The 24,989-nt window shown below is 36.1% G+C and overlaps 1 protein-coding gene and 1 long non-coding RNA gene across 3 annotated transcripts in view; one reads left to right on the top strand and one right to left on the bottom strand.

The window, feature by feature from the left end:
- GUCY1A2 (guanylate cyclase 1 soluble subunit alpha 2) overlaps window positions 1-24,989 on the top strand; it is a 344,458-nt gene that overhangs the window by 151,757 nt on the left and 167,712 nt on the right. The gene's annotated exons all lie outside the window — the stretch shown is intronic.
- Window positions 9,002-10,078, bottom strand: LOC105369475 (uncharacterized). Its single transcript, XR_947986.3, has 2 exons — window positions 10,014-10,078; window positions 9,002-9,141 (listed from the first exon to the last, which is right to left on the bottom strand). It is a non-coding gene; the product is annotated as an uncharacterized LOC105369475 (long non-coding RNA).

Genomic DNA, 24,989 nt, shown 5'->3' with positions numbered 1-24,989 from the left:
GACTAATTTGCCTCTTCACCTTTTGAATTACAAAGATGAGGAGCTATTGAATGAATGCTCAGGCTTTAGCAAACTAAGGGAGAAATGTCATTATTACCACAGACCAAATAAAAGGTACAAAAATGCTAACTGAACATAGAAGGACCAACTTGCAGAATGACCTTGGGAACTGGCGATTTTCAGTGGCTCATCCGCATTCTCTTCCTTGCATCTGCCTGAGCACAGAATAGTTCATTCTCTCTCCAAATCTCTTTCAATTTACTAAAATTTGTCTTTAGTTGAATAGCAGCAGCGACGTCCACACTGTCTCAAGTCATGCATTGAAGTCATTAAATGACAAATATGCTTCCTTAGGAAATGTTTTGTGACTCATTAGTCTAACAGGAGAAGCACCATTTCTCTACTTCCCTCTCTGTCTCCTAACCTCCCCCTTTTCTTCCTCCTGTCCTCCCTTCCTTCTTTCATTTTTTTTTTAATTCAAGAACTTGAAATTAAATTAGAGATAATCCAATTTAACTATTTCATTTGAGGAAACGAAGGCCCAAACAGGTTCATTACTGCCAGAGCCAGAAGTAGCTCCTAGATGTTCCTGATCTAGTTCTTTTTGCACCACATACACTGCTTCTTTATAATATGCATACTAAAATAAAAGCATAAGTGAATATTATAAGCCTTAACACATATGTGTTCAGCATTTACTGTGTGCAAGGTGCTATGATAGATGCTGTGGAGTAAACCAAAGAGAAAGACAATGTTTATTTTCTCAAGAAGTTTACATTCTAACAAAGGAAATAATTTCCATATGCATTTTTATATAATTATATATAAATTATATAATAATTGCCATATGAGTTTTGTTTTTAAATCCTGGGTAGAAAGAATTCAAGTCTGGGATTATGTTTCTTTTTATTATTATTATTATTATACTTTAAGTTCTGGGATGCATATGCACAATATGCAGGTTTATTACATAGGTATACAGGTGCCATGGTGTTTTGCTGTACCCAACAACCTGTCATCTACATTAGGTGTTTCTCCTAATGGTATCCCTCCCCTATCACCCTCACCCGCTGACAGGCAAGGTGTGTGATGCTCCCCTCCCTGTGTCCATGTGTTCTTATTGTTCAACTCCCACTTATGAGTGAGAACATGCGGTGTTTGGTTTTCTGTTCCTGTGTTAGTTTCCTGAGAGCGATGGTTTCCAGCTTCATCCATGTCCCTGCAAAGGACATGAACTCATCCTTTTTTATGGCAGCATAGTATTCCATGGTGTATATGTGCCACATTTCAAAAGCTAGCAGAAGACAAAAAATAACTAAGATCAGAGCAGAACTGAAGGAGATAGAGACACAAAAAACCCTTCAAAAAATCAATGAATCCAGGATCTGGTTTTTTGAAAAGATTAACAGACTGCTAGTCAGACTAATAAAGAAGAAAAGAGAGAAGAATCGGACACAATAAAAAATGATAAAAGAGATATCACTACTGATCCCAGAGAAATACAAACTACCATCAGAGAATACTATAAACACCTCTACGCAAATAAACTAGAAAATCCAGAAGAAGTGAATAAATTCCTGGACACATACACCCTCCTAAGACTAAACCAAGAAGAAGTCAAATCCCTAAATAGACCAATAACAAGTTCCGAAATTGAGGCAGTAATTAGTAGTTGACCAGACAGATTCACGGGCAAATTCTACCAGAGGTACAAAGTGGAGCTGATACCATTCCTTCTGAAATTCATTCCAAACGGTAGAAAAAGAAGGACTCCTTCCTAATTCATTTTATGAGGCCAGCATCATCCTGATACCAAAACCTGGCAGAGACACAACAAAAAAAGAAAGCTTCAGGCCAATATCCCTGATGAACATTGATGTGAAAATCCTCAATAAAATACTGGCAAACCGAATCCAGCAGCACATTAAAAAGCTTTATCCACCATGATCAAGTCGGCTTCATCCTTGGGATGCAAGGCTGGTTCAACATATGTGACTCAATAAAGGTAATCCATCACATAAACAGAACCATTGACAAAAACCACATGATTATCTCAATAGATGCAGAAAAGGCCTTCAATGAAATACAACACCGCTTCATGCTAAAAACTCTCAACTAGGTATTGATGGAATGTATGTTAAAATAATAAGAGCTATTTATGACAAACCCATCGCCCATATCATGCAGAATGGGCAAAAGCTGGAAGCATTCCCTTTGAAAACTGGCACAAGACAAGGATGCCCTCTCTCACCACTCCTATTCAACATAGTATTGGAAGTTCTGGCCAGGGCAGTCAGGCAAGAGAAAGAAAGAAAGGGTATTCAAATAGGAAGAGAGGAAGTCAAATTGTCTCTGTTTGCAGATGACATGATTGTATATTTAGAAAACCCCATTTTTATGTAATTATATATAAATTATATAATAATTGCCATACGAGTTTTTAAAAAAAGTCCTGGGTAGAGAGAATTCAAGTCTGGCATTATCTTTCTTCTTCTTCTTATTATTATTATACTTTAAGTTCTGGGATACATATGCACAATATGCAGGTTTGTTACATAGGTATACACGTGCCATGGTGTTTTGCTGTACCCAACAACCCATCATCTACATTAGGTGTTTCTCCTAATGGTATCCATCCCCTATCGCTCCCAACCCCCGACAGGCAGGGTGTGTGATGCCCTGTCTCAAAGATGCCCAAAATCTCCTTCAGCTGATAAACAACTTCAGCAAAGTCTCAGGATACAAAATCAATGTGCAAAAATCACAAGCATTCCTATATACCAGTAATAGACAGCCAAATCATGAGTGAACTCCCATTCACAATTGCTACAAAGAGAATAAAATACCCAGGAATACAACTTACAAGGCTTGTGAATGACCATTTCAAGGAGAACTACAAACCACTGCTTAAGGAAATAAGAGAGGACACAAACAATAGAAAAACATTCCATGCTCGTGGATAGGAAGAATCAATATCATGAAAATGGCCATACTGCCCAAAGTAATTATAGACTCAATGCTATCCCCATCAAGTTACCATTGACTTTCTTCACAGAATTAGAAAAAACTACTCTAAATTTCATATGGAACCAAGAAAGAGCCCATATAGCCAAGACAATCCTAAGCAAAAAGAACAAAGCTGGAGGCGTGCTACCTGACATCAGACTATACTACAAGGCTACAGCAACCAAAACAGCATGGTACTGGTACCAAAACAGATATATAGACCAATGGAACAGAACAGAGGCCTCAGAAATAACACCACACATCTACAACCATCTGATCTTTGACAAACCTGACAAAAACAAACAATGGGAAAAGGATTCCCTATTTAATAAACAGTGTTGGGTAAACTGGCTAGTTATATGCAGAAAACTGAAACTGGACCCCTTCCTTACACCTTATATAAAAATTAACTCGAGGTGGATTAAAGACTTAAATCTAAGACCGAAAACCAAAAAACCATAGAAGAAAACCTAGGCAATACCGTTCAGGAAATAGGCATGGGCAAAGACTTCATGACTAAAACACCAAAAGCAATGGCAACAAAAGCCAAAATTGACAAATGGGTTCTAATTAAACTAAAGAGCTTCTGCACAGCAAAAGGGATTATCTTTCACTCTCCCTTTGTGTTTAGCCTCGATACAAATCTCTTACAAGTTTATCTTTGAGGACTAAGCAGTGAGAGGGGGCAGCATAGTCAGAGACAGCCCCAGCCACCTCTGTCCCAGGTCACAGATGATTCACAAATGCCCTAAAGTTGGCAGATCTTTCTTCCTCTTAGTTTACAAAGCATAGCATTTTTCAAAAGAAATCTTCTCTAGGTATCTCAATGAAAGAGAGAAGTTTAAAAGCATAGAAACAAAGAGCAGTTTGCACTTCCCAGGATTTTTGTCCTAATGTATCTGAAAATCCAGCCAGGGATCTGTTAGAACAGAGTCGTTTACAGAGCCACTTCCATGCCTCCCTTTTCTTAAATTCAATTTGCAGAGAATTTTCTCCTCATTCCAGTTTCTGGTCAGGGAAGGAATTGGAATAGAGTCTCCCATTAATCTAGCAAAAACGGTTCAGTATAGTATTAATTGCCTAAGGAAGACAGCAATTATCACTCTTCTCTGGGTATTCCCTTAGAGTGCCCACAAAGGTTTTAAATGTTTCTTTGTTCCTTCAGTGAGGTGCTGCTTCTTTCAGTTTTCACAATAGAAAAGGCTGGTTTTTTTGTTTGTTGTTTGTTTTTTACAGAGTTAAATAAAATCCAGAAGCTGTTCAGGAGCAAGATGCTTCTGGCTGGGATGCTGAGCATGGTTAAATGATGATGATGATGATGATATCAGCTACCATTTAACCTCCTTGTTTGTACTAGAAACTTATCTATTGATGTGTTTTTTTTATATCTCATTCAATTCTCATAACAATTATATGAAAGTAGTAGTATTATCTTCATTTTACCAATGAGAAACTTAGGAACTTGTTTGAGGTCAGTGAGTAATAGATACTTTATTTAAATACAGATCTTCTGTGACCTCAAAGCCTATATAGTCTTTCCACTATTAACACAGACTCTGGTGAAGAAAACAGTGTTCTAAACCTATTAGTGGGGTGGGCAGAACAATAGATGCTATGTGTTGCATTCTTAGAGCACTTAAGGTCATCTGTGTTGACGAAGGGGACTGACGACATAATTTTGCATTTTTCATTTATTATGTCTTTAGGTACAGATTTCTCTACAGTGTTTAATGAAGAGGAAAACCAAAACTGCCCTTAACACTTGCTTTTAGAAGTTTTCCTCTTTTCACCATTAGTTTATCAGAGTTTTGTTATTTTACAGAAAATTTGGTAGAAAGAAATGGTTTGTTGAATAAAAGCTAATGTTAGATAATGATAAGTGTTGTTAAGGGAATAAAATATAGAAAAATGAGATAAAAGTGTTTTTTTAAATGAGTAATTTCCCCATATTTGATTTTGAGCATTTCATTTTTAATAGCATGTTTGTTCAAGAAAAAATTGCATTACCATATTGTAAGCTTGAGTACGTAATATATCAAAGGAAATCCTAATTTTAAATGCTATTCTTTTATACACATCTCTGCCTTCAGAATTAGGGATGTATTTATTATCCTAAGAACATCCCTTTAACTTGCTAACCATAGCTGTAATGACTCTTAGTGATAGAGCCCCAACTTGTTTCTGAAGCTTGGTGCTTTGGGGAAGATGATTATTTCAGAACTGAAAGTTGATGGGAACATGGCTGACAAATGGGAAGTTTATAAGTAAAAAGTCCTAGCAACAAAGAGACACCTATCCACATCAATATGGGAAAAAAGAATACTGATTTGTTATTGAGTACACACAACAGACTACGTGCATGTAGACAGCACACAAAACCTTTGAAGACAGAATGACATTTCACACAATTTATACAGCAAAGAATAAGAAAATGAAATAACATTTCTCTTCTTTCCTCAGTTACATCTCAAGATAGGCTCCTAGATTAGCTCTAAGAGTATGTTTATATTTCAAGGGGTTATGAGGTCTGCAACCTTGGAGACATCTTTGCAGTGTGAAACTAGAGACTGGGTTTATCTAGACCCTGTGGAGACCATTTATATCTAATAGGTTAGAGCGAGGACTCAAGCACATTGTGTTTTCAAGGAGACTCAGGAGGATAAGAGAAGGAAGTTGCCTCCTTCCTCTTCATAAGCAAATAATCTTCTTCTCATCTTCCTCCTCCTCCTCCTCCTTCTTAAAATTTATCTTTATAACAGGAAGAGTAGAGCTTTTCCCTTTCTTATCTGTGATTCATCCCTTGGACTGGAGTCAAGCTGAAATGAGGGTTGGGATGGGTATTCTTTAGCTATTTATGATGGCATTGCATATTCAGTGGCAGCAACAGAAGATGCACTGTCTTAATTTTTGTGAGTTAATTCAGCCATTAGAACAATAAGTGAAAGGATAGACATTGGCACCTCCTTTATATGGAGTTGCATTATCTGACAGCTTCAAGTTTTGTGAACTCAGCCAAGTATGTATAGAAAGCTCTGAGAAGCTAAAATATAGACCACAAAATCTGGGTCACCAGGCACGTAAAAAGAATTCATTATGCTCTCACTTACTCTCTTTATACATAGTTGAATATGCTTGGTTGTCTGGTTTCCCAGTCCACAACAGATTAGATACAATATGGTAAAATACACTATGGTTGGGTAGAGTTGCCCCTAATGACAGCAAATGTGATAGTGGAAAACCTGATGTCAATGGGGCTATAAAGGAAAATGACCTATAATTTGAAAGACAGAAACTCTAACAAATATTAAAATATACATTTTAGTACATATTTAATATGTAAAATGTTTGATAAATACTAGACACTTAGTTCATGTCATGTGTTTTCCTTTTTTCCCCTGCAAGCATTGCTGTATTACATCACAGCAAAAAAAAAAAAATCAATGTTCATACTATTACTCTTAGTTTTGAGAAATGTTTATGTCTGGGTACTCTGGAAAACAGCAGAGCACTGTGTGTATACATTATTAGCTCTTTTTAACCCAATATGTTAAAACTGAAACATATTTTGGTATTTTAAAACATAAACTTAAGTAATTCATAAAATTTAAATATGTTGAGTAATAATAGTAAAATAGCAATTAAAAGCACTTTACACATATTAGTTCATGTAATTTCATTTATTTATGCTGAATTAGATGAAACTCCTCCCATTAGTGCTAGATTACAGTACAGTCATGCATTACTTAACAATGGGGATAATTGCTGAGAAGCATTTTTAGGTGATTTCATCATTGTGCAAGTATCATAGAGTATACTTACACAAATCTAGATGGTAGAGCCTACTGCACACCTAGGCTATGTATAACCTATTGCTCTGAAGCTGCAAACCTGTACAGAATGATACTGTACTGAGTACTCTAGGCAATTGTAACATGATGATATTTGTGTATCTAAACATATCTAAACATAGAAAAGGTACAGTAAAAATATGGTATTATCTTATGGGACCACCGTTGTGTAAGTGGTCGGTCATTGACTGGAACATTGTTAGGTGATGTATGACTGCACTTTTACCTGGTATTTGTATTGTCATTATTTTTTGTAGAATCTTATTTCACTTTTAAAAATGCACTTTTCTTGAGAACAGGAATCTGTCTGACTAGTACTTAAATTTTTGATCATGCCTTTTGCATAAAAGATGCTTAGTAAACTTTTATGAAGTCAATTAATTAAATCTATTGTACAATTCCGTTGGCACTATACCTTTCTTGTAATTTATTTTTTAACAGGGTAGGGAAAATAGACTGATGAGGTTCAGCAGAATAAATACATAAATTAAGCATGGATGGCCAGCTCAATTTAAGTATGAGACAATGTCTATTATCCCCTGTTGGTAATAAAGTACTGTTTTTTCAGGGAAGTTCAAATGTTCATACAAAAATACCAAGCCTTAACACAGGATTGGATTCAGGTTTAAAGTTATCAGTTCACTGACAATCTTGGTTCACAGTTTGGTGCCTGTTAATTGAATTGTAGATGTAAGATTATTTATAATTACTGCACTCTTACCCTTCATTTTAATCTGAATTCATTAATTTTACATAATGTCAGTAGTAGGTCAAATTATTGTAACAATGAACTACAGTCCCTAAAAATTATGACAAAAAGAGGCCAGGGTTAATTTTAATTTACAGTTTTCAGATTTTATAACCTATGTATCTTATATGTGATCAAGGCATCCAGAATTATTGAATGGCCCCTGCTCCAATGTTTCAATTTTAAATCAGCTATTTGTAATCAAAACACAATTATCTGCTTATGTGACATATTTCTTATTATGTTCTCAGGTTACTTTCTGAAAACCTGTTATCTAAATACAGTGGCCTGGAATTGTACTCATCTAAGATTTTAGCCTGAAGAAAGCTGGGAGTGGACTGGCAACATAGTGATTTTTCTCCTTGTCTTCTAGATTTAGGCCTAGAACAATATTTGATACCAACAAAGGTTGTCAAAGGAATTTGTCTCTCACATATTTGTAATCCATTTTTATCTGCCTTATAAGTCATAATACTTCTGGTCTTGGGTCTATACGTGCCAGGCATCATAGAGGCCTAGAACTCTGGTTCTGAGTTTAGATGGACCTGTGTTTAAATCCTACTGCCTCTACCTCTTGATGATGTATTCCTAGCCAAGTTTCCTAATTCCCCATAGTCTCAGTTTTCTCATCTATAAAACAGAGATAACAGTAGTATCTATTTCACAGGCTTGTCAAGAAGATTAAATGATATAACTCACTAAATATATGATGAGTATTGACATTATAGTGCCCTAAGTCCTTTAATGTGGTATACAGCCAAAGCTTTTCAACTTTACAAATTGCTTCTCATTCAAGATGATCTAATCTTTTCCCTGACAAATAATTCATTTCTTTATATAACTCATAGAATTTAAATAGACATTAAAAGGTAAACAATCTAGCTACATTAATTTTTACTAAGATGTGAATCACTGGTAACCATAACTCTCCAAGACTTATTTATGTTTTAAGAGATATCTATCTTTTGAAATCTGTTAAATATTGAAAATTTAGGCATGATGATGAATTGAAGTGAAAGCTTTAGACAATATATGTGAAAGGTACATTTGGGGCACATTGCCTTTCAGGTTGGTTGTCATTGCTGAGAGGCCTATCTTGGGTTTAGTTTGTGGAAGTTTAATCTTTATATCATATATTTTTTCCTTTTGTACTTTTCCTTCTTAAAGTCCTGGATTTGTTCCAGGATCCCTGACAGATACCAAAATCTAAAGATGCTCAAGTTCCTGATATAAAATGGTATAGTATTTGCATATAACCTTTGCATATAACATATGCATATCCTCGTGTATATTTTAAATTATCTATAGATTACTTGGAATACGTAATACAATGTAAATGCTATGTAAATAGTTGCTATACTGTATTTTTAAGGAAATAATGACAAGAAAAAAGTCTATCTATGTTCAGTACAGATGCAGTTTATTTTCAAGTGGTTTAAATTCACAATTGGTTGAATCCATGGATGTGGAGCCCACAGATACAGAGAGCTGACTGTACGTTCTCGAAAAAACTGAATCATTTGGCAAAGGCAAGGTGACCTACAATAGAGGGAGGAGTTAGAATAAAGGTCAGGTCAGTTGAAGGTTGAGAAAGCAAGATATGAGAAGCAGCAATGACTGGTTTTATATGAAGCTGTGTGTAAGTAGGGGACTGCAACTGATGGGATGTTTATGTTCCCCCAAAATCCATATGTTGAAATTCTAATCCAAATGTGTTGGTACTTGGAGGTGGAGCCTTTGGGAGGTAATTAGGTCATGAGGGTGGAGCCCTCAGGAATGAGATTAGAGCCTGTGTAAGAAAAAGAGAGCTAGCTAGCTAGCTTTCTGTCATGCGAGGATACAGTGAAAAGTCAGCAGTCTAAAACCTGAAAGAGGGTCTTCACCAGGAACTCGACCCTTCTGGCACCCTGATTTTGGACCTCCAACCTCCAAAACTATGAGAAATAAATGCTGTTTAAGCCATACAGTTTGTGGTATTTTGTTATAGCAGCCCTAGCTAAGACAAGGACTAAATTTATTCTCAAGGTTATAGAAATGAGGAAGTTAATTCACTTAATGCTAGGTTTGGACATAGAAGTAGATATGTAATAGCTCATTTAGGTAATTCTGTAGGTAGGATATAGTCCATTTTAAGGGAACATACCAGTTATTTGGAGATTAGCTTTGTTTTCTAGAAGTGAAAAGCACTATGGGGACTAGTATAAACTGTACGGTTTAAGTGAAAAGAATGTCCAGATGATGTCTGCATTTCTTATAAAGACACCAAGTAGGGAAGTTGGCAGAGCTCTGCCTTCTACTTTTGGTGCTATAGAGTTTAGAAGAAAGAGTAATGGAAAGAAAAAGGAACTGGGTACACATCACCACGGGTACTCATTTCAGTACAATGCACACCGTGGTGCTGTAATACTTACCCCAGGGACATAGATTAAGGTGCCAGTCTTGCTTCTCAGACACTTAATGGAAATTTTGACTGTCTGCAGAGATAATTTTTTATATTATATTCAAGAAATAATAAATGTAATAGGATATAGAGGAATGAAACTTTCTAGTTACAGAAATATTTAACATAGTTTCACTTTATCTTCAAAATTAATCCTTAAAAACAGATAGAACTGATGGTCTTATCTCTGAGTTGTAGATAAGGAAAATAAGATTGCCAAAACTCGTATAGCTTCAGATTCAGAAAAAAAAAGGCAGATCTTTTTTATTCTCTGTGGTTCTTTCTGTCATATTACTTATGTAAAATGACAGTGAAACAAAATGCCCAGGCTTTGGGGCATGTGAAGACGGAATAATTTTCTTCTAGCTAACACGTTTTTTCTTTTTTTGAGATGGAGTCTTGTTCTGTCGCCCAGGCTGCAGTGCAGTGGCATGATCTCAGCTCACTGCAACCTCTGCTTTCCGGGCTCAAGCAATTTTCCTGCATCAGGCTCCCAAGTAGCTGGGATTATAGGCACCCACCACAATGCCTGGCTAATTTTTGTAGTTTTAACTCTGTCTCCAAAAAAAAAATACAAAAAAAAATTTAGCCAGGTGTGGTGGCACATGTCTGTAGTCCCAGCTACTTGGGAGGCTGAGGTGGGAGGATCACCTGAGCCCAGGAAGTTGAGGCTGCAGTAAGCTGAGGTCACACCACTGCTCTCCAGCCTGGGTGATGGAATGAGACCCTGTCACCAAAAATAAATAAATAAATAAATAAATAAATAAATAAATAAATAAATAAAATACAAGAGACCCAAACAGATAAAACACCCTTGAACTATGAAGGACTAATACTTTCTGATTTCAAAATTTATTTTAAAACTACAGTAATTAAGATAGTGGTCTTAATTGGACAGTGGTACTGCTATAAATATAGACATGTAGGCCAGTGTAATAAAATTGAGTGTTCAAAAATAAACCCTTACCTTTATGGTCAATTAATTGTTGACAAGGATGCCAAGATAATTCAGCAAGGAAAGAATAGTCTTTTTTCAACAAATGTTTTTAGTACAAGTGTCTATCTCCATGTGAAAAAATAAGTTTGGGCAGCTACCTTAAAACATATACAAAAATTAACTCAAAATGGGTTGTAGACCTGGGAGAAAGATCAAGGTGGCTGACTAGAAGTATCCCGCAGTCACCTCCTCCACAAAAAAAAGGACCAAAACAGCAAGAGGATAACCACACATTGAATAGAGTATCTAAGAGAACACTGAAATTCAGCAAGGAAGTGACAGGGACCCTCTGAGGCATAGAGTGAGAGGGCAGCCAAGCAGCTGGCCTGGCCAGGATCGGTTTGGAATGAGGAAGGTGTCTTCATTGTGGGGAAAAGGTAGGTGAGAGATCCCCAGCCATCCACTTTCCCACCACAGATGCTGGTAATACTAGCCACAAGAGAGCCACTCAGCACTCACAGGCCCTTAGCCTAGTACAGGGAGCTGCCTAGGGTCTGTGCAAGTGAATTGTTGCAGAGAGGGAACTCACACTGGCTCCCACTCACTCCCCGAGACCAAAGCAGCTGCAGCATGGAGCCACTTTGAGAACCCAACTCCCACCAGACTACATTATTCCCTGAGGCCCAACGGGCCTTGCATTTTCACATCCCCAAAGTCCCACTTATAACCCCTGTATTCACCTAGAAAGCTGCAACACCACAATGACAGCTAAATCTGGCATTGTGGCTTGGTCCCCAGGATTCTGGCCTATGCAGTGCACTACACCCTGGGGAACAGGTGATAGAGCACACCAGGGTGGCTGCCCCCAGTACTGATACTCCCCAGAGCCTTAGAGCTGCCTGTTCTGGGCTGCTGCAACTCAGAACAACCTCCCCTCCACTCCAACTTCACAACTGTGTGCACCTTCATAGGGCCTGAGGACAGGACTTCCATAGGCAGACTGTCTCCAGTGCCCACATACACCCTCCGGATACCTGCATATTGGCCTGCCCCACTCATAGCTGCCACCACTACCACATGCTCATCCATCCGGGGCCCTGAGGGCAGGCCTGCCCTGATCGCCACTGTTGATGCTTGTGCATGCCATCCAGGAGCCTGAGGGTTCGTCCGCCTTACGTGGTACTACCCCGCTTTGCCTGTATGCACTATTTTGAAGCCTGAGGATCAGCCCATCCTTCTCACCACCACATGCCCCCTTGTCCACTAGCCAGAAGACTGAGGACAGGCCTACCATGTTCATTGCCACTGACATATGCCTACCTGCTGCCATCTGCTGTCATGGTCACTACCACTGCACATGTGCACTTCCCAGGCCCCCAGAGACAGGCCACTCAACCTGCTGCTGTACTCCTCATCTAGGCATTCCATCCAAGATCCTAGGGACTGGTCTGCCCAGCCTACAAACACTACTTCTGGTGTCTTCACTCCCACGGGCCCAAGGCTGTCCTGCCACTGCTATTGTCACTGCCAGTGCTATGCACACTGTCCAGGGGCCCAAACACATGCCAACCTGGCCCTCCTCAGCTACCACTAATGTCCAAGCATGCTGCCTGGGGCTTGAGGATCAGCCTACCTGGGTCACCCCACAGCCATTACTGGTGCCAGTGTATACTACCCAAGGGCCCAAGGACTGGCATGCCTAGTTTACCAGCAACATCACTCATGCCCAAGGACCAGCCCACCTGGTGACCTTGTCCCCAGCAAGTCCTTGTCACAGCTGCCAGCAACAACTGCAGCCAGTGTCACTGAGGAACTCACTGCTCACATTTATTACAGCCAAAGAAATCATACAGAGACTACACTACTGCACTTTCCCAGAATAAAAGCCAAAACACCCTACTGAACAAACAATAAAGATCTACTTACAGGGAAAAAAATCTTTCCCGACTAAAGCCAGTCCATAAAATTGGAACAAGTGACTATTAAGACAGATGCAGAGGTATCAACATAAGGACACAAGAATGAGAAAGCAAGGAAACATGACACTTACAAAGGAACATACTTTTTCAGTGACAGATCCTGCAGAAAGAAAAGTCTATTAAATGTCCGAAAAAATTCAAAATAATGATCTTAAGGAAACTTAGTGAGATACAAGACAACACAGATAAGCAATATAAAGAAATAAGAAAAATAATTTATGGCCTGAATGAGAAATTTGACATAGATGTAAGAAAGAACCAAACAGAAATTGTAGAACTGAAGAATTCAATGAATTTTTAAAAATACAATTGATATCTTCAACAGTAGACTAGATCAAGCAGAAGAAATAATTAAACTTGAAGATAGAGCTTCCAAAATAACCCAGCCCCAATAAAAACAAAAAACCAAAAAAATTTTAAAAAGCCAAAAGAAAATAAAAGGAGTGAAGAACATCCATGTGACACATGGGATGCTATAAAGTAAACAGATATATTTGGATTTTCAGAAGGAGAAGAGATGGGCAAAGCTATAGAAAACCTATTTAATGAAATAATAACTGAAAATTTCCCAAGTCTTTTGGAAGATATAGACATCCAGATACAGAAAGGTGAAAGATTCCTAAACATATTTCATCTAAAAAGATCTTTTCTGGTGCATGTTTTAGTCAAACAGGCAACAGTAAAAGAGAATTCTACAAACAGCAAGAGAAAAGAATTCAGTTACATGTAAGGGAAGCCATATCAGACTAACAGCAGATTTTCCAACAGAAGTCTGACAGCCCAAGAGAAAAGAGAATGATCTATTCCAAGTGCTGAAAGGAAAATACTGCCAGCCAAAACTCCTATATCCAGCAAAGCTATCTTTCAAACATGAGGGAGAAATAAATCTGTCAAAACAACTCCAGAGAATCAAATAGAAGGAAATTCTTCCTAACTCATTATATGAGACCAACATTACCCTTATGCCAAAAGCAGGCAAGGACACAAGAAAAAAGAAAAGTACAGGCCAATATTCCTGATGGACAAAGATGCAAAACTCCTCAACAAAATCTAGCAAACCAAACCCGATTTCACATCAAAATGATCATTTACCGTGATCAAATAGGAATCCCAGAGATTCAGTGATTGTTCAACCTACACAACTCAATAAATGTGATATGTTACATCAATAGAATGAAGGACAAAAGCCAAATGTTCATTTTACTAGATGCAGAAAAAGCATTTGATAAAATTCAGCATCCCTTCATGTTAAAGACTCAACAAATTAGGCACAGAAAGAGCATACATCAATATAATAAGGGTCATATATGACAAACCCATGGCTAACATACATACTGAATCGGGAAAAGCTGAAAGCCTTTCCTCTAAGAACTGAGACAAGGCAAAGATGTCTGCTTTCACCACTCTTATTCAACATAGTACTGGAAGTCCTAGTCAGAAATCAGGAAAGAGAAAGAAATATAAGGTATGAAAATTGGAGAACAGGAAGTCAAATTTTCCCTCTTTGTAAACAACATGATCTTGTATATAAGAAAACCTAAAGACCCCATAAAAAAGAATCTCTTAGAAGTGATACACAAGTTCAGTAAAATTGCATTTCTACGCACCAATAATGAACTAGCTGAAAAAGAAATCAAGAAAACTATGCCATTTACAATAGCTACAAAAAATACCTAGGAATAAATTAAACAAAAGGGGTGAAAGATTGCTATGATGAAGACTATAAAACACTGATTAAAGAAATTGAAGAGGACTCAAACAAATGGAATGACATCCCTTGCTCATGATTGGAAGAATTAATAATGTTAAAATGGCCATACTACCCCCCAAAATTTTCAGATTGAATGCAATCTCTATCAAAAATATTAATGACATTCTTTACAGAATTTGAAAAAATATCCTAAAATTTGTATGAGATCCACAAAGACCCTAATTGCGAAAGAAATACTGAGTAAAAGATCAAAGCTGTAGGCATCACACCACCTGGCGTGGTGTGATTCAAAGTATACTACAAAGCAAGAGTAATCAAAATAGTATGCTATTGATATAAAAACAGACACATAGATCAATGGAACAGAATAGAGAAGTAAATCCACATATTTACAGCCAACTGACTTTCAATAAAGTATCCAAGAACATACATTGGGTAAAGAATACACTCTTCAATAAATAGTGAAGGGAAAACTGGATATCCATATGCAAAAGAATGAAAGTAGACTCCTCTCTCTCACCATAGACAGAAACCAACTCAAGATGGAGTAAATGCTTAAATGTAAAATGAAAATGATAAAACCAGTAGAAGAAAGCATAGGGAAACACTTCAGGACATTAGTGTTTGCAAATATTTTATGGGTAAGACTTTAAAAGCACAGGTGACAAAAAAGAAATATAGGTAAATGGGATTATATTAAACTAAGAAGCTTCTGCACAGCAAAGGAAAGAATCAACAGTTATGAGACAACCTGTAGAACGGGAGAAAATATTTGCAAACTATTTATCCAACAAGGGACTAATACACAGACTATACAAGGAACTCAGACAAATCAACAGCAAAAAACAAAACAAAACAAAAAAAAACCCATTTAAAAAGTGGGCAAAGAAACTAAACAGACATTTCTCAAAGGGAGACATACAAATGGCCAAGAAATATATGAATAAAGCATTCAACATCACTAATTGTTAGGGAAATGCAAATCAAAACCACAATGAGAGATGTCACTCCAGTTAGAATGGCTATTATCAAAAAGACAAAAAATAACAAATGCTGGCAAAGATGCAGAGAAAAGGAAACTCCTATACACTGTTGGTAGGATGTAAATTAGTACAGCCATTATGGAAAACATCATGGAGGTTTCTCAGAAAACTATAAATAGAACTGCCATACAGTTTAGTAATCCCACTACTGAGTATTTATCCAAAGCCAGCGAAGTCAGGATATTAAAAAGTTGCTGACACTCACATGTTTATTACAGCACGATTTACAATAGCTAATATATAGAATCAACCTAAATGTCAATCAATGGATGAATGGTTAAAGAAAATGCAGTACATATACACAATGAAATAAAAAAAGAATGCATCCGTGTCATTTGCAACAACATGAATGAGCCTGGAGGACATTATATTAAACACAACTAATCAGGCATAGAAAGATCAATAACCACATGTTGTCACACATATGTGGGTGCCAAAAAAACATTTTGAGCTTATGGAAATGGAGAGTAGAATTGTGGGTGAGGTTGGGAAGAGTAGGGGATAGAGAAAGATGGGACGAGGTTAGTTAACAGATACAAAAATTACAGCTAGATAGGTGGAATGGGTTCTGGTGTTCTGCAGCACCTTACAGTGAATATGGATAACTATAATTTATTGTGTCTTTTCAAAAAGCTAGATGAGAGGATTTTGAATGTTCACAACACAAAGTAATAATAAATGTTTGAGGTGATTGATACACTTGTTACCCTGATTTGATCATTACCCATTGTACACACATTGAAATACCATTCTACGTTCCATAAATGTATACAATTATTAAATATCAACTAGAAAAAGGGAAAAAATGGATTATAGACCTAAATGGAGAACTCAAATGATATTAATAAATCTCTTAGAAGGAAACATGGGAATATGGTTCCATTTATATGAAACATCAGAATGGGCAAATCTGTGAAGACTAGATTAGTAGTTTGCCTATGACTGACGCAGGGAGGGAGAGAGATGAAGACTGACTGCTAATGGAATACAAAGTTTCTTCGTGGGGTGATGAAACTATTCTAAAAGGGTTTGTGATGATGATTCTGTAATTCTCTGAATCGTCTGTAAAATCCACTGAATTGTATACTTTGAATGGGTTAATTCTATGGTATGTGAATTTTATCTAAATAAAACCATTAAAAATAAAGACAAAGGGGCCTCTTCACCTCTATTATGTTCTCCTTCCTGTGACTGTTTTCCCTAAATTCTTTCCAAGATAATGCTCAGTTTGGATGGAATATTAGTTCTCCTTTTGCTGAAATTTTCAGGTAGGTTTGGTGGTTTTCCATCAGATATTTTTCAAAAGAGTGTCTTAAATGGGGGTTACCTTTTCCTTTGGAACATTATGAAACATTTATACAAACAGAGCTGTAGATATATGATAAAAGATTTAAAATTCAGTTATGGAGCTGGGAGAGGGCTCAAATCACATTTTGTAGCTCGTATTTTTCTACATTATTCCTCGAAATACACTCAATCAAATATATTTACCAAAATAACTATGTACTAGCTTTCAAATCCAACAGCTTAAACCACAAAACACTAATTGCTACCTCCTTTGAACCTTGTAATACTTCTTTTTCTATAATTTGCTTATAATTACCATATGCAGGCTTGTATAAAGTTAAATATATATGTTTATATATTACATATATAATATATGTAAAATAATAATTTGCATATTATATATATTTAGCTTAATTTATAAATTGTAAGTCAATAGACGAAAGCTTTTTAAAGTTTCCTAAAGACCTAACACAGTTCACTACATATATGAGCTAATTAATAAGTGTTTCTAGTTGGGTAGTAGATAATGCCAGTCTCTACACCAGAGAGAAGGGGTTGAACATTAATGTGAGTGGCTTTTATCAGTAATCCAGAAAATTATAGAATGGCACCTTGTATAGTCTGTGTATTAGTCCCTTGTTGGATAAATAGTTTGCAAAGATTAAAGATACTCTATACAATCTTACAGGGCTCATCAGTTAGTAGCTCATTTTTGTACAGAAAATGGTAGCTCTGTGAAATAGAATTGGCTTAGAAGACTTTGACTTACTGGAATTCTAAGTAAAATTCAAAACGTAACTTTTCCTCTCACACATTTTTACAAAGTTAAAAACAAATGCTGAAAATACTTCATTTGGTACAAGTATTCCACATGTGCAAGATACAATACAGCAATAAGATGGAATTTTCAATAAATGACTAAACATTCAAATAAGCATCTTTCATAGGAGGTCCTTGGCAGGCAGCACACTTTTCCCACTAAGGCTGCTGTTATAAAATCATTTTTGGAGCTATTCTTTTGGAATGTCTGTCCTTCTCTCAAAGCCAGTGTACAAATTATATGAATAAACAGTTTTGGTACTTTTCCATCATAATTGTTTATAACAAAAATTATAATACTCCAGTTAGTCAACCACTTCATTCTAGGGTTAGCTCACTTTGGGGTGCTTCCAAAATTATATCCACTGTTAAAACAAGAAGATATGCTACCATTTACAGTTCTTAAAAATGGATTTTGAGCTTTGTAATATCACTATAACAAATGTGTATCTTGGTTCACTGCCAGGTACATGTTGAGTATCCAATCAAATGTTGGTATAATGAGTGAATGAATTAATATGATTTTTCTGTTACTTTAAAGGGAGTACATCTTTAGCAATATCTGTATATGTTTCTGAAAAATCAATTATTTCATATTCACTGATTGTGTGCTTATGCTTGCTGTTTGAACTCTTTATTTTCTGCTCATGGCTTTTGACCTATTTATATTGACATACATTCTGTTGATTTTTATATAGCTCTAATTGCAAAAATAAAAATTGAACAACATGTAAAAAGAAACTCGTTCCAGCATTTTCACCAGCTTTCCATGCCTTCTCTGTTATGATTGGTAGAGCTCTGTGATGTCTTCAGCCTATTTTCAAATTTCTGCGTAATAAACTTCATTGGGCCCACAGATCTGAATCCATTAAGTTACTTTAAGTAATCAGTGTCCAGATCCTTCCTTATTTGGTCATGGTGTTTTGCACTCTTATTGCAGTGGCTGCTTTTCTGGTCCTTTGTAGAAACAGAGATTTTCTGGAGTCATTTATAGTATTCTTGCTCTCCCCATTTAATACATTGGGTTAGATTTCTAATTTAAAAAAAAGCATTTCTTATTTCTTTTAGTGTTTTTCAAAACTTGCTATTTATTAATTTTTTGGTCTGTCCTTTCTTTAGCCTCTTATCCCATGAATAAATAAGTACATATGTTGAAAAAGAAGGAAATACAATGGATTTATACACCTTTCAAAAATTTCTAGGGCTCAGCCTCTACAGACTCAAATTTTAATTAATAGTTTACTTTTTTTTGTGCCACTGAAATTTACTAAGGCATATGTAATGAAATATCACCTTTTCAGGAAGCTTCCACTAATGGGGCTCAGCTGAAATGCCTTCTCCTTCCTTTGGGTCCCCAGGGCTTTGTGGCTTTGTTTATTTTGCCTCATCTTGGAGTAATTTGTGTATAGTTCTTAGTTGTTTTAAACAGTAATAATAATAATAGCAATGATTAGTATTGATTATTTCCTTTGGGTCAGATACTTGATGTGTAAGATCCTATTTATTTCTTACAACTATCTTACAGCAAAGGTATTATTATCATCTTCATTTTATCATATGTCATTTTATCACATGTAGAATCATAAATATATATGTGAGTATATATATAAGCAGAAACAATCCTTATAAAAACCACAATTTTTTATATATATATATATATTTTTTTTTTTGAGTTTTGCAATATCACTATAACAAATGTGTATCTTGGTGTACTGCCAGGCAGATGTTGAGTATCCAATTAAATATTGGTGGAATGAGTGAATGGATTTATATAATTTTTCAGTTATATGTATAACTATGGTTTTTATAAGGATTGTTTCTGCTGATAATGAGAATTTGAGCAAATTATTCTGTACAAAATAAACCTGGGTTACATTTTCCCCTTCAGAACCTTTTATTTTCTTATATCTAATCCTCTTGTTAGGGACATTTGAAATTGGCCTCTTTTTGGTCCCTTGAGACTTACTTTATTTCTGCTTGGTGCCTATAGAATTTTTAATTTAATATTGAAGTTTAATAACCTTTTCCCCTGATACATGGTGTGCCATTTCTACCTTACTATTGAATTCTCTATTTCACAGAAACGTTCCTGTATTATATCTTTGAATAATTTTCTATTTCATTTGTTCAGTTCTCTAGTTTAGGAAAATAAGAGGAAAATATGAAATGGTTAGATGCTAAGTAGATATAAGACATTATAAGAAGCAAAGATGAAGGAAATGTATCAGATGTACAGTTCAGAACAAGTAGTGTCGAAGAGGTCAGAGCGTCTGGGAAACCCAATCAAAATGTTTCCCCTGAAGATCTCCGTATTGTGTCAGCCATCATAGACTCCCTACAATAGTACAAATAGAACACTGCTCCTTCTTAATCGTTTTTTAAGTTAGTATTTAACCCTCATTTAGTGTGTCTTTACCATGTGCTAAGTCCTGTAAAGACAAAAGATATTAATGCTTTAGTCTAAAATCTAGATTTTTTTCCACCAACTTTGGATTTTAAAAAGTTTTAAGCTTCCAGAAAAGTTGGAAACTAGCAAGATGTTAAAACAAATCTAGATTCACTGATTACTCTTTAAAATTAAATTCCACTGTCTTCTAAAATTTCAGCATGTATCTCCAAAGAAGATGATTCATCTACATAGTCACAGTACCCCCCAAAATTAACTTTGAAAGTATATTACCAAAGATGTAGTTTATATTCACATTTTCCCAATTTTCTCAACAATTTTATTTATAGATTGTCTCTCCTAGGATCCAATTGAGTATTACACATTGCATTTAGTTTTCATGTTTCTTTAACATCCTTTATTCTAAAGTGTCCTGATGTTAACATTTTTTAGAGTTCTACAATCTGAATTTTTCTGATTGTTTCCTCATGATTAGATTAGGTTAAATGTTTTTGGCAAGAGCTGTATCACATTAAGTGGTACAAAATAGTAGTTTATCCTATTCTTTGTAATGTTATCTTAAATTACTTAGTTAAGGTGTTGGCTGTAAATCTTTTCGTTGAAAGGAAAACTTTCCTTTGGTAATTAACAAGTTATCTGTAGGGTGACACTTTAGACCATATGAGCATACCGTTTTCCAACAACTTTTCATTGAATGGATTTAGAAATCATTAATGATCCTTGCCAGAATCAATTGTATTCGTGTTGGCAAAATGGTGATTTTCTAATTCTACTCCTAATCTTCTTAAGCACAACTATGACCTCATTAAGGTAGCTGTCCCAAATTTTCTGGGCCTCTTTTTTTTTTAAAACTATCTGGTAGATACAGTGAGATCTCTTTTACAAAAAAGAAATAAGTACAGTGTTAAATGTCTAATGAGCATCAGGAACACAAAAAAATTGTACCTACATTGACCTGCTCTTTAACTTCTTCCAATATGGAAGAGATAGTCAGTGAGCACCTGAGTGATCTTTCAGGAAAGCAAAGACAATCCACGTAACATGTTTGTCTCTAGCACTCATCCTTGGATATGTCTCCTTTCCTTCATGTAAACAGTTAAGAAACACCCAATTGTAAATATAAAACTCATTCTGAAAGAAGAGGGGGAGCAATACTGTAAGGACTTCAAATTTCCTACTCTATTATTGGAAAATGGAGCATTTTTTTTTTTTAATCGGCCGCAGGGATTTTTGTTAGTGTTTTTGTTTTATTTTAATTAAGAAGAAAACATTAATTCTATGAAACATAAGCCATTTGCTTTCCATATATTTGGCCTGGAGTAGACTCTGGACATTGATAATTTTTCAAAACATCTCCAGGTGATTCTAATGTACAGCCAGGATTGAGAAATTTTTGAAGAACAGGTAACTCCATCTTGAAAGATGGGTGGAATTAGGACATGTGGAGATTGCCGGAGGTAACTTTAGGTGAAGGAAATAACATAAGCAAAGATTAACCTACTGATGGCAAGGATTTGCCATTCTTTTCCACAAATGAAGCCTTTTTTTTCTGTTATGTTTACCTGAAAGGTAATTGGAAAAATGATGCCTTAAAGTTCACTAATTTGTGAGAATCATAGGCAAAAGCTTTCCTGTGATATTAGAGAAGAGTAAGATATTGTTCTTGATAACATCCTGCAACTCATCATTTATAGCATAATAAGCCCTTCCACTCTGATTCTGTTAGACAGGCCCATCCATGGCAAGATATTAAACAAAACAGGATTTATTGAAAACATGTCTGATAATAGCAATGATATTGAAAAAGAGCAAAACAGTACAATCCTGGTTTTTATGTTTCTGCTTTGACCACAGGCTTAAAATGTGTATTTCAAGCCTATAAATATTGATTGTGAGACACAAGAAACATAATATAAATATTTTGAAGGAATAGTAATTAAGAGCAGTGAGTCACAGGTAGCTACCAGATGAAAATAATAAACCCAACTTTGTCAGGGCTTCAGATCAGAGTAAGGTTTCAATTTTGATATCCACGGAGAAGAGCCAAATTGAAGATGAATATGAGTAAATATTGATGATCCATACTACTGAATTTGTCTGGTGATAAATGTTTCTTAGGTATTGCACATATTCCGAACTCATAAATACATATACTACATAAAAACATGGAAAAAACCCTTCAGAAATGTTTTCCTGTATTATATTTTCAGAAAGTCACAAGTTTTAGAGAAATCATATAAGCAGAATGGCAGACAGCATGGGCCATATTTCCATGTCAAAAGTAAATTGAAAATCTAAATTAGTACCTGAGGTTAAAAATACTTATGTCCACAGATTCCAGAATACAAAGGAAAAGTAATGCCAGCCAAATCTGAAACATAAACAACTATAAGTTTTCTTTGTATTTGAAAATATGGCCTTGGAACTCTGTATAAGAAGATGCTTACTTCATAAACATACATGTGCAAGTGTCTTTTTCATATAATGACTTCTTTAAGAGTGCCCTCCAATGATATGACAAGATGCTGACCGATGTTATACCTCATTTCCTGAAAGTTTCTAAGTGCTCTATGATGGATCCTATGGTGGTGAGAGTCAACAACCTTTGTCATAATAAATAGGAGATTTTTCTCACAATTTTCGAAGTAATGTGACATTAAAAATAAGGATAGGAAGGAGACAAGGAAAGAAGAATCAGTAAAGTAGTAAGAATAATTAGTATTGTGTCAGGAGAACTAAATTCTAGTTGTGTCTCTGTCACCAACTAGCTAGAAACTTTGGGTAAACCATCTTACCTATTGACTTCACTTGCAAAATGAACATTAGGCTGTATTTCAATAATTTCCAAGTGTTTGAAGAAGTAGAACCTTTATCAATAAAGTATAGTATAGAAAACTTTCTTTCCTCCACTTTTAAATTATTCCTGAAGTTCTGACCCTTTTTCCTATTCTTTACTTTCAAATGCTTTTAATTTCAACTTCTCCCACTTGCTGTTACACCCTAATATATCTAATACGTCTCTACAGGTATATTTCTGTGCCTTTCAGTAGCCCTCTATGTTCATCTACTTTTTAATTTTTTTTATTTCAATAGGATTTTGGGAAACAGGTGGTAGTTGGTGACATGCATAGATTTTGGTGCACCCATCACCCAAGCAGTGAACACTGTACCCAGTGTGTAGTCTTCTATTTCTCACCAACCCCCATCCTTTCCCCTGAGTCCCCAAAGTCCAATGTATCATTTTGTTTTATTACTTTTTTTCTTAAAAATATTCAGATATTGTATCTTATTACTCCTTTAAGCTACTCATCCATTCTACATGTTTTCCTTATAAACTTTTCAAAATGGTAGCAATTGTTTTCACAAGCAGAGCCTTATGGGAATTTTACATGTGTGGAAGAACATAATAAATTTGGAATTTGCTGATGATTTCACTTTTAAAAATAAATAAATAGAACCTTTTTCTCCCTTGAATGAACTCTTACTTGGAATCATAATATGTAAAACAGATGAAGGCAAAGATGCAGGAGAAGTTCTTGAGTCCTACCCTTTCAGCCATTCCCATCCTTATGAGACTGACATGGCACTGCCACAGACACCCAAGGGCCTTGCTACTCAAAGTGTGGTCCAGGAATCAGCTGCATCAGCTGGTTAGGGATACAGAATCTCAGAAGCTTATTTGAGAATCACAAGCTCCAGTGGGACCTACTAAATCAAAATCTACATTCTAACAGGCCCCTTCCACCCACCACCCACCTTCATTCCTCCCTACCCCCTTTTTCCTCACCACTATGATCTGGTTCACACTAAAGTTTGAGAAGCTCCGCTCTAAATACAGATGCAACTCCATTTGAAAAGTAACTACTGGACTAGTTAACTCATAGAGATGAATGATGTTCATTTTGTCCTTTCACACACCACACTGACTGATTCTCAGCTGGAAGCCCAGTGTGCAAGAAGAACAAGAAATAGTGGCACTAATGCCATTTTTAGTCTTATAGAAATATAGGAATATAGAATGCAGGGTTTTATTTTATTTAGTAGACAGTCCAGTGGTCTGTTTATTCTACAACACTGACTCAAAGAAAGGGACTACATAGTGGCCTTTATGTATATTAGCATATCAGTCAGGGCCCCAGCAGGAACTTAATGCCACACTCAGTGGGAGACTTCTTAACAAAGTTGTGGGCAATCTTAAGGAAACCACTAAGGGATGGTGAAGCCCTAGGGACTAGCAATGGTGGGAACCACTAACACTGTCAATCTTGATGGAGCAAGGGAAGGGATGGAACCTAGGGAAAGCTTTAACAGTGGGAAGGGCCCACTGTGGGATCTCTTGCCTTAGGTGGGAGAATAAGCCACTGCCAAATCACAGATCAGCAGAGAGCAAACCAAGAGAATGAATAAACCAGACTTTCTCTCCTCTCCCACTCTGGTCACCTGCCATCGTTTACCATTGGCCAAACCCAACTGGAAACTAGAGTGCAGGGGAATGATTTGATGCAGTACAGAAAAGTCATCTTCCTGGGGTACAGAGCAGGGTACAGAAGGTGGAAGGTGGTTCTGAAGAGGAAATTCAGAATATCTAACATGATAAATAGTTGGATTTGTAAATAGGAAAAAAAAGGTAGTAAAGTAAAATTCTAATGGAAAGGTTTCATTTGTGCTTGTTTTGTTTGCATATATGTTCATACACTTATGTGTGTATGTATATTAAGCACAAGGGGGAATTTCTAAGACATAGTGAGATGTAGCAGAAAATGT

Source organism: Homo sapiens, chromosome 11 (genome assembly GCF_000001405.40).
Source record: "Homo sapiens chromosome 11, GRCh38.p14 Primary Assembly".
Lineage (NCBI taxonomy): Eukaryota > Metazoa > Chordata > Mammalia > Primates > Hominidae > Homo > Homo sapiens.
Note: the sequence above shows the minus strand (reverse complement) of the source record. Positions and strands in the feature narration are given on the sequence as shown.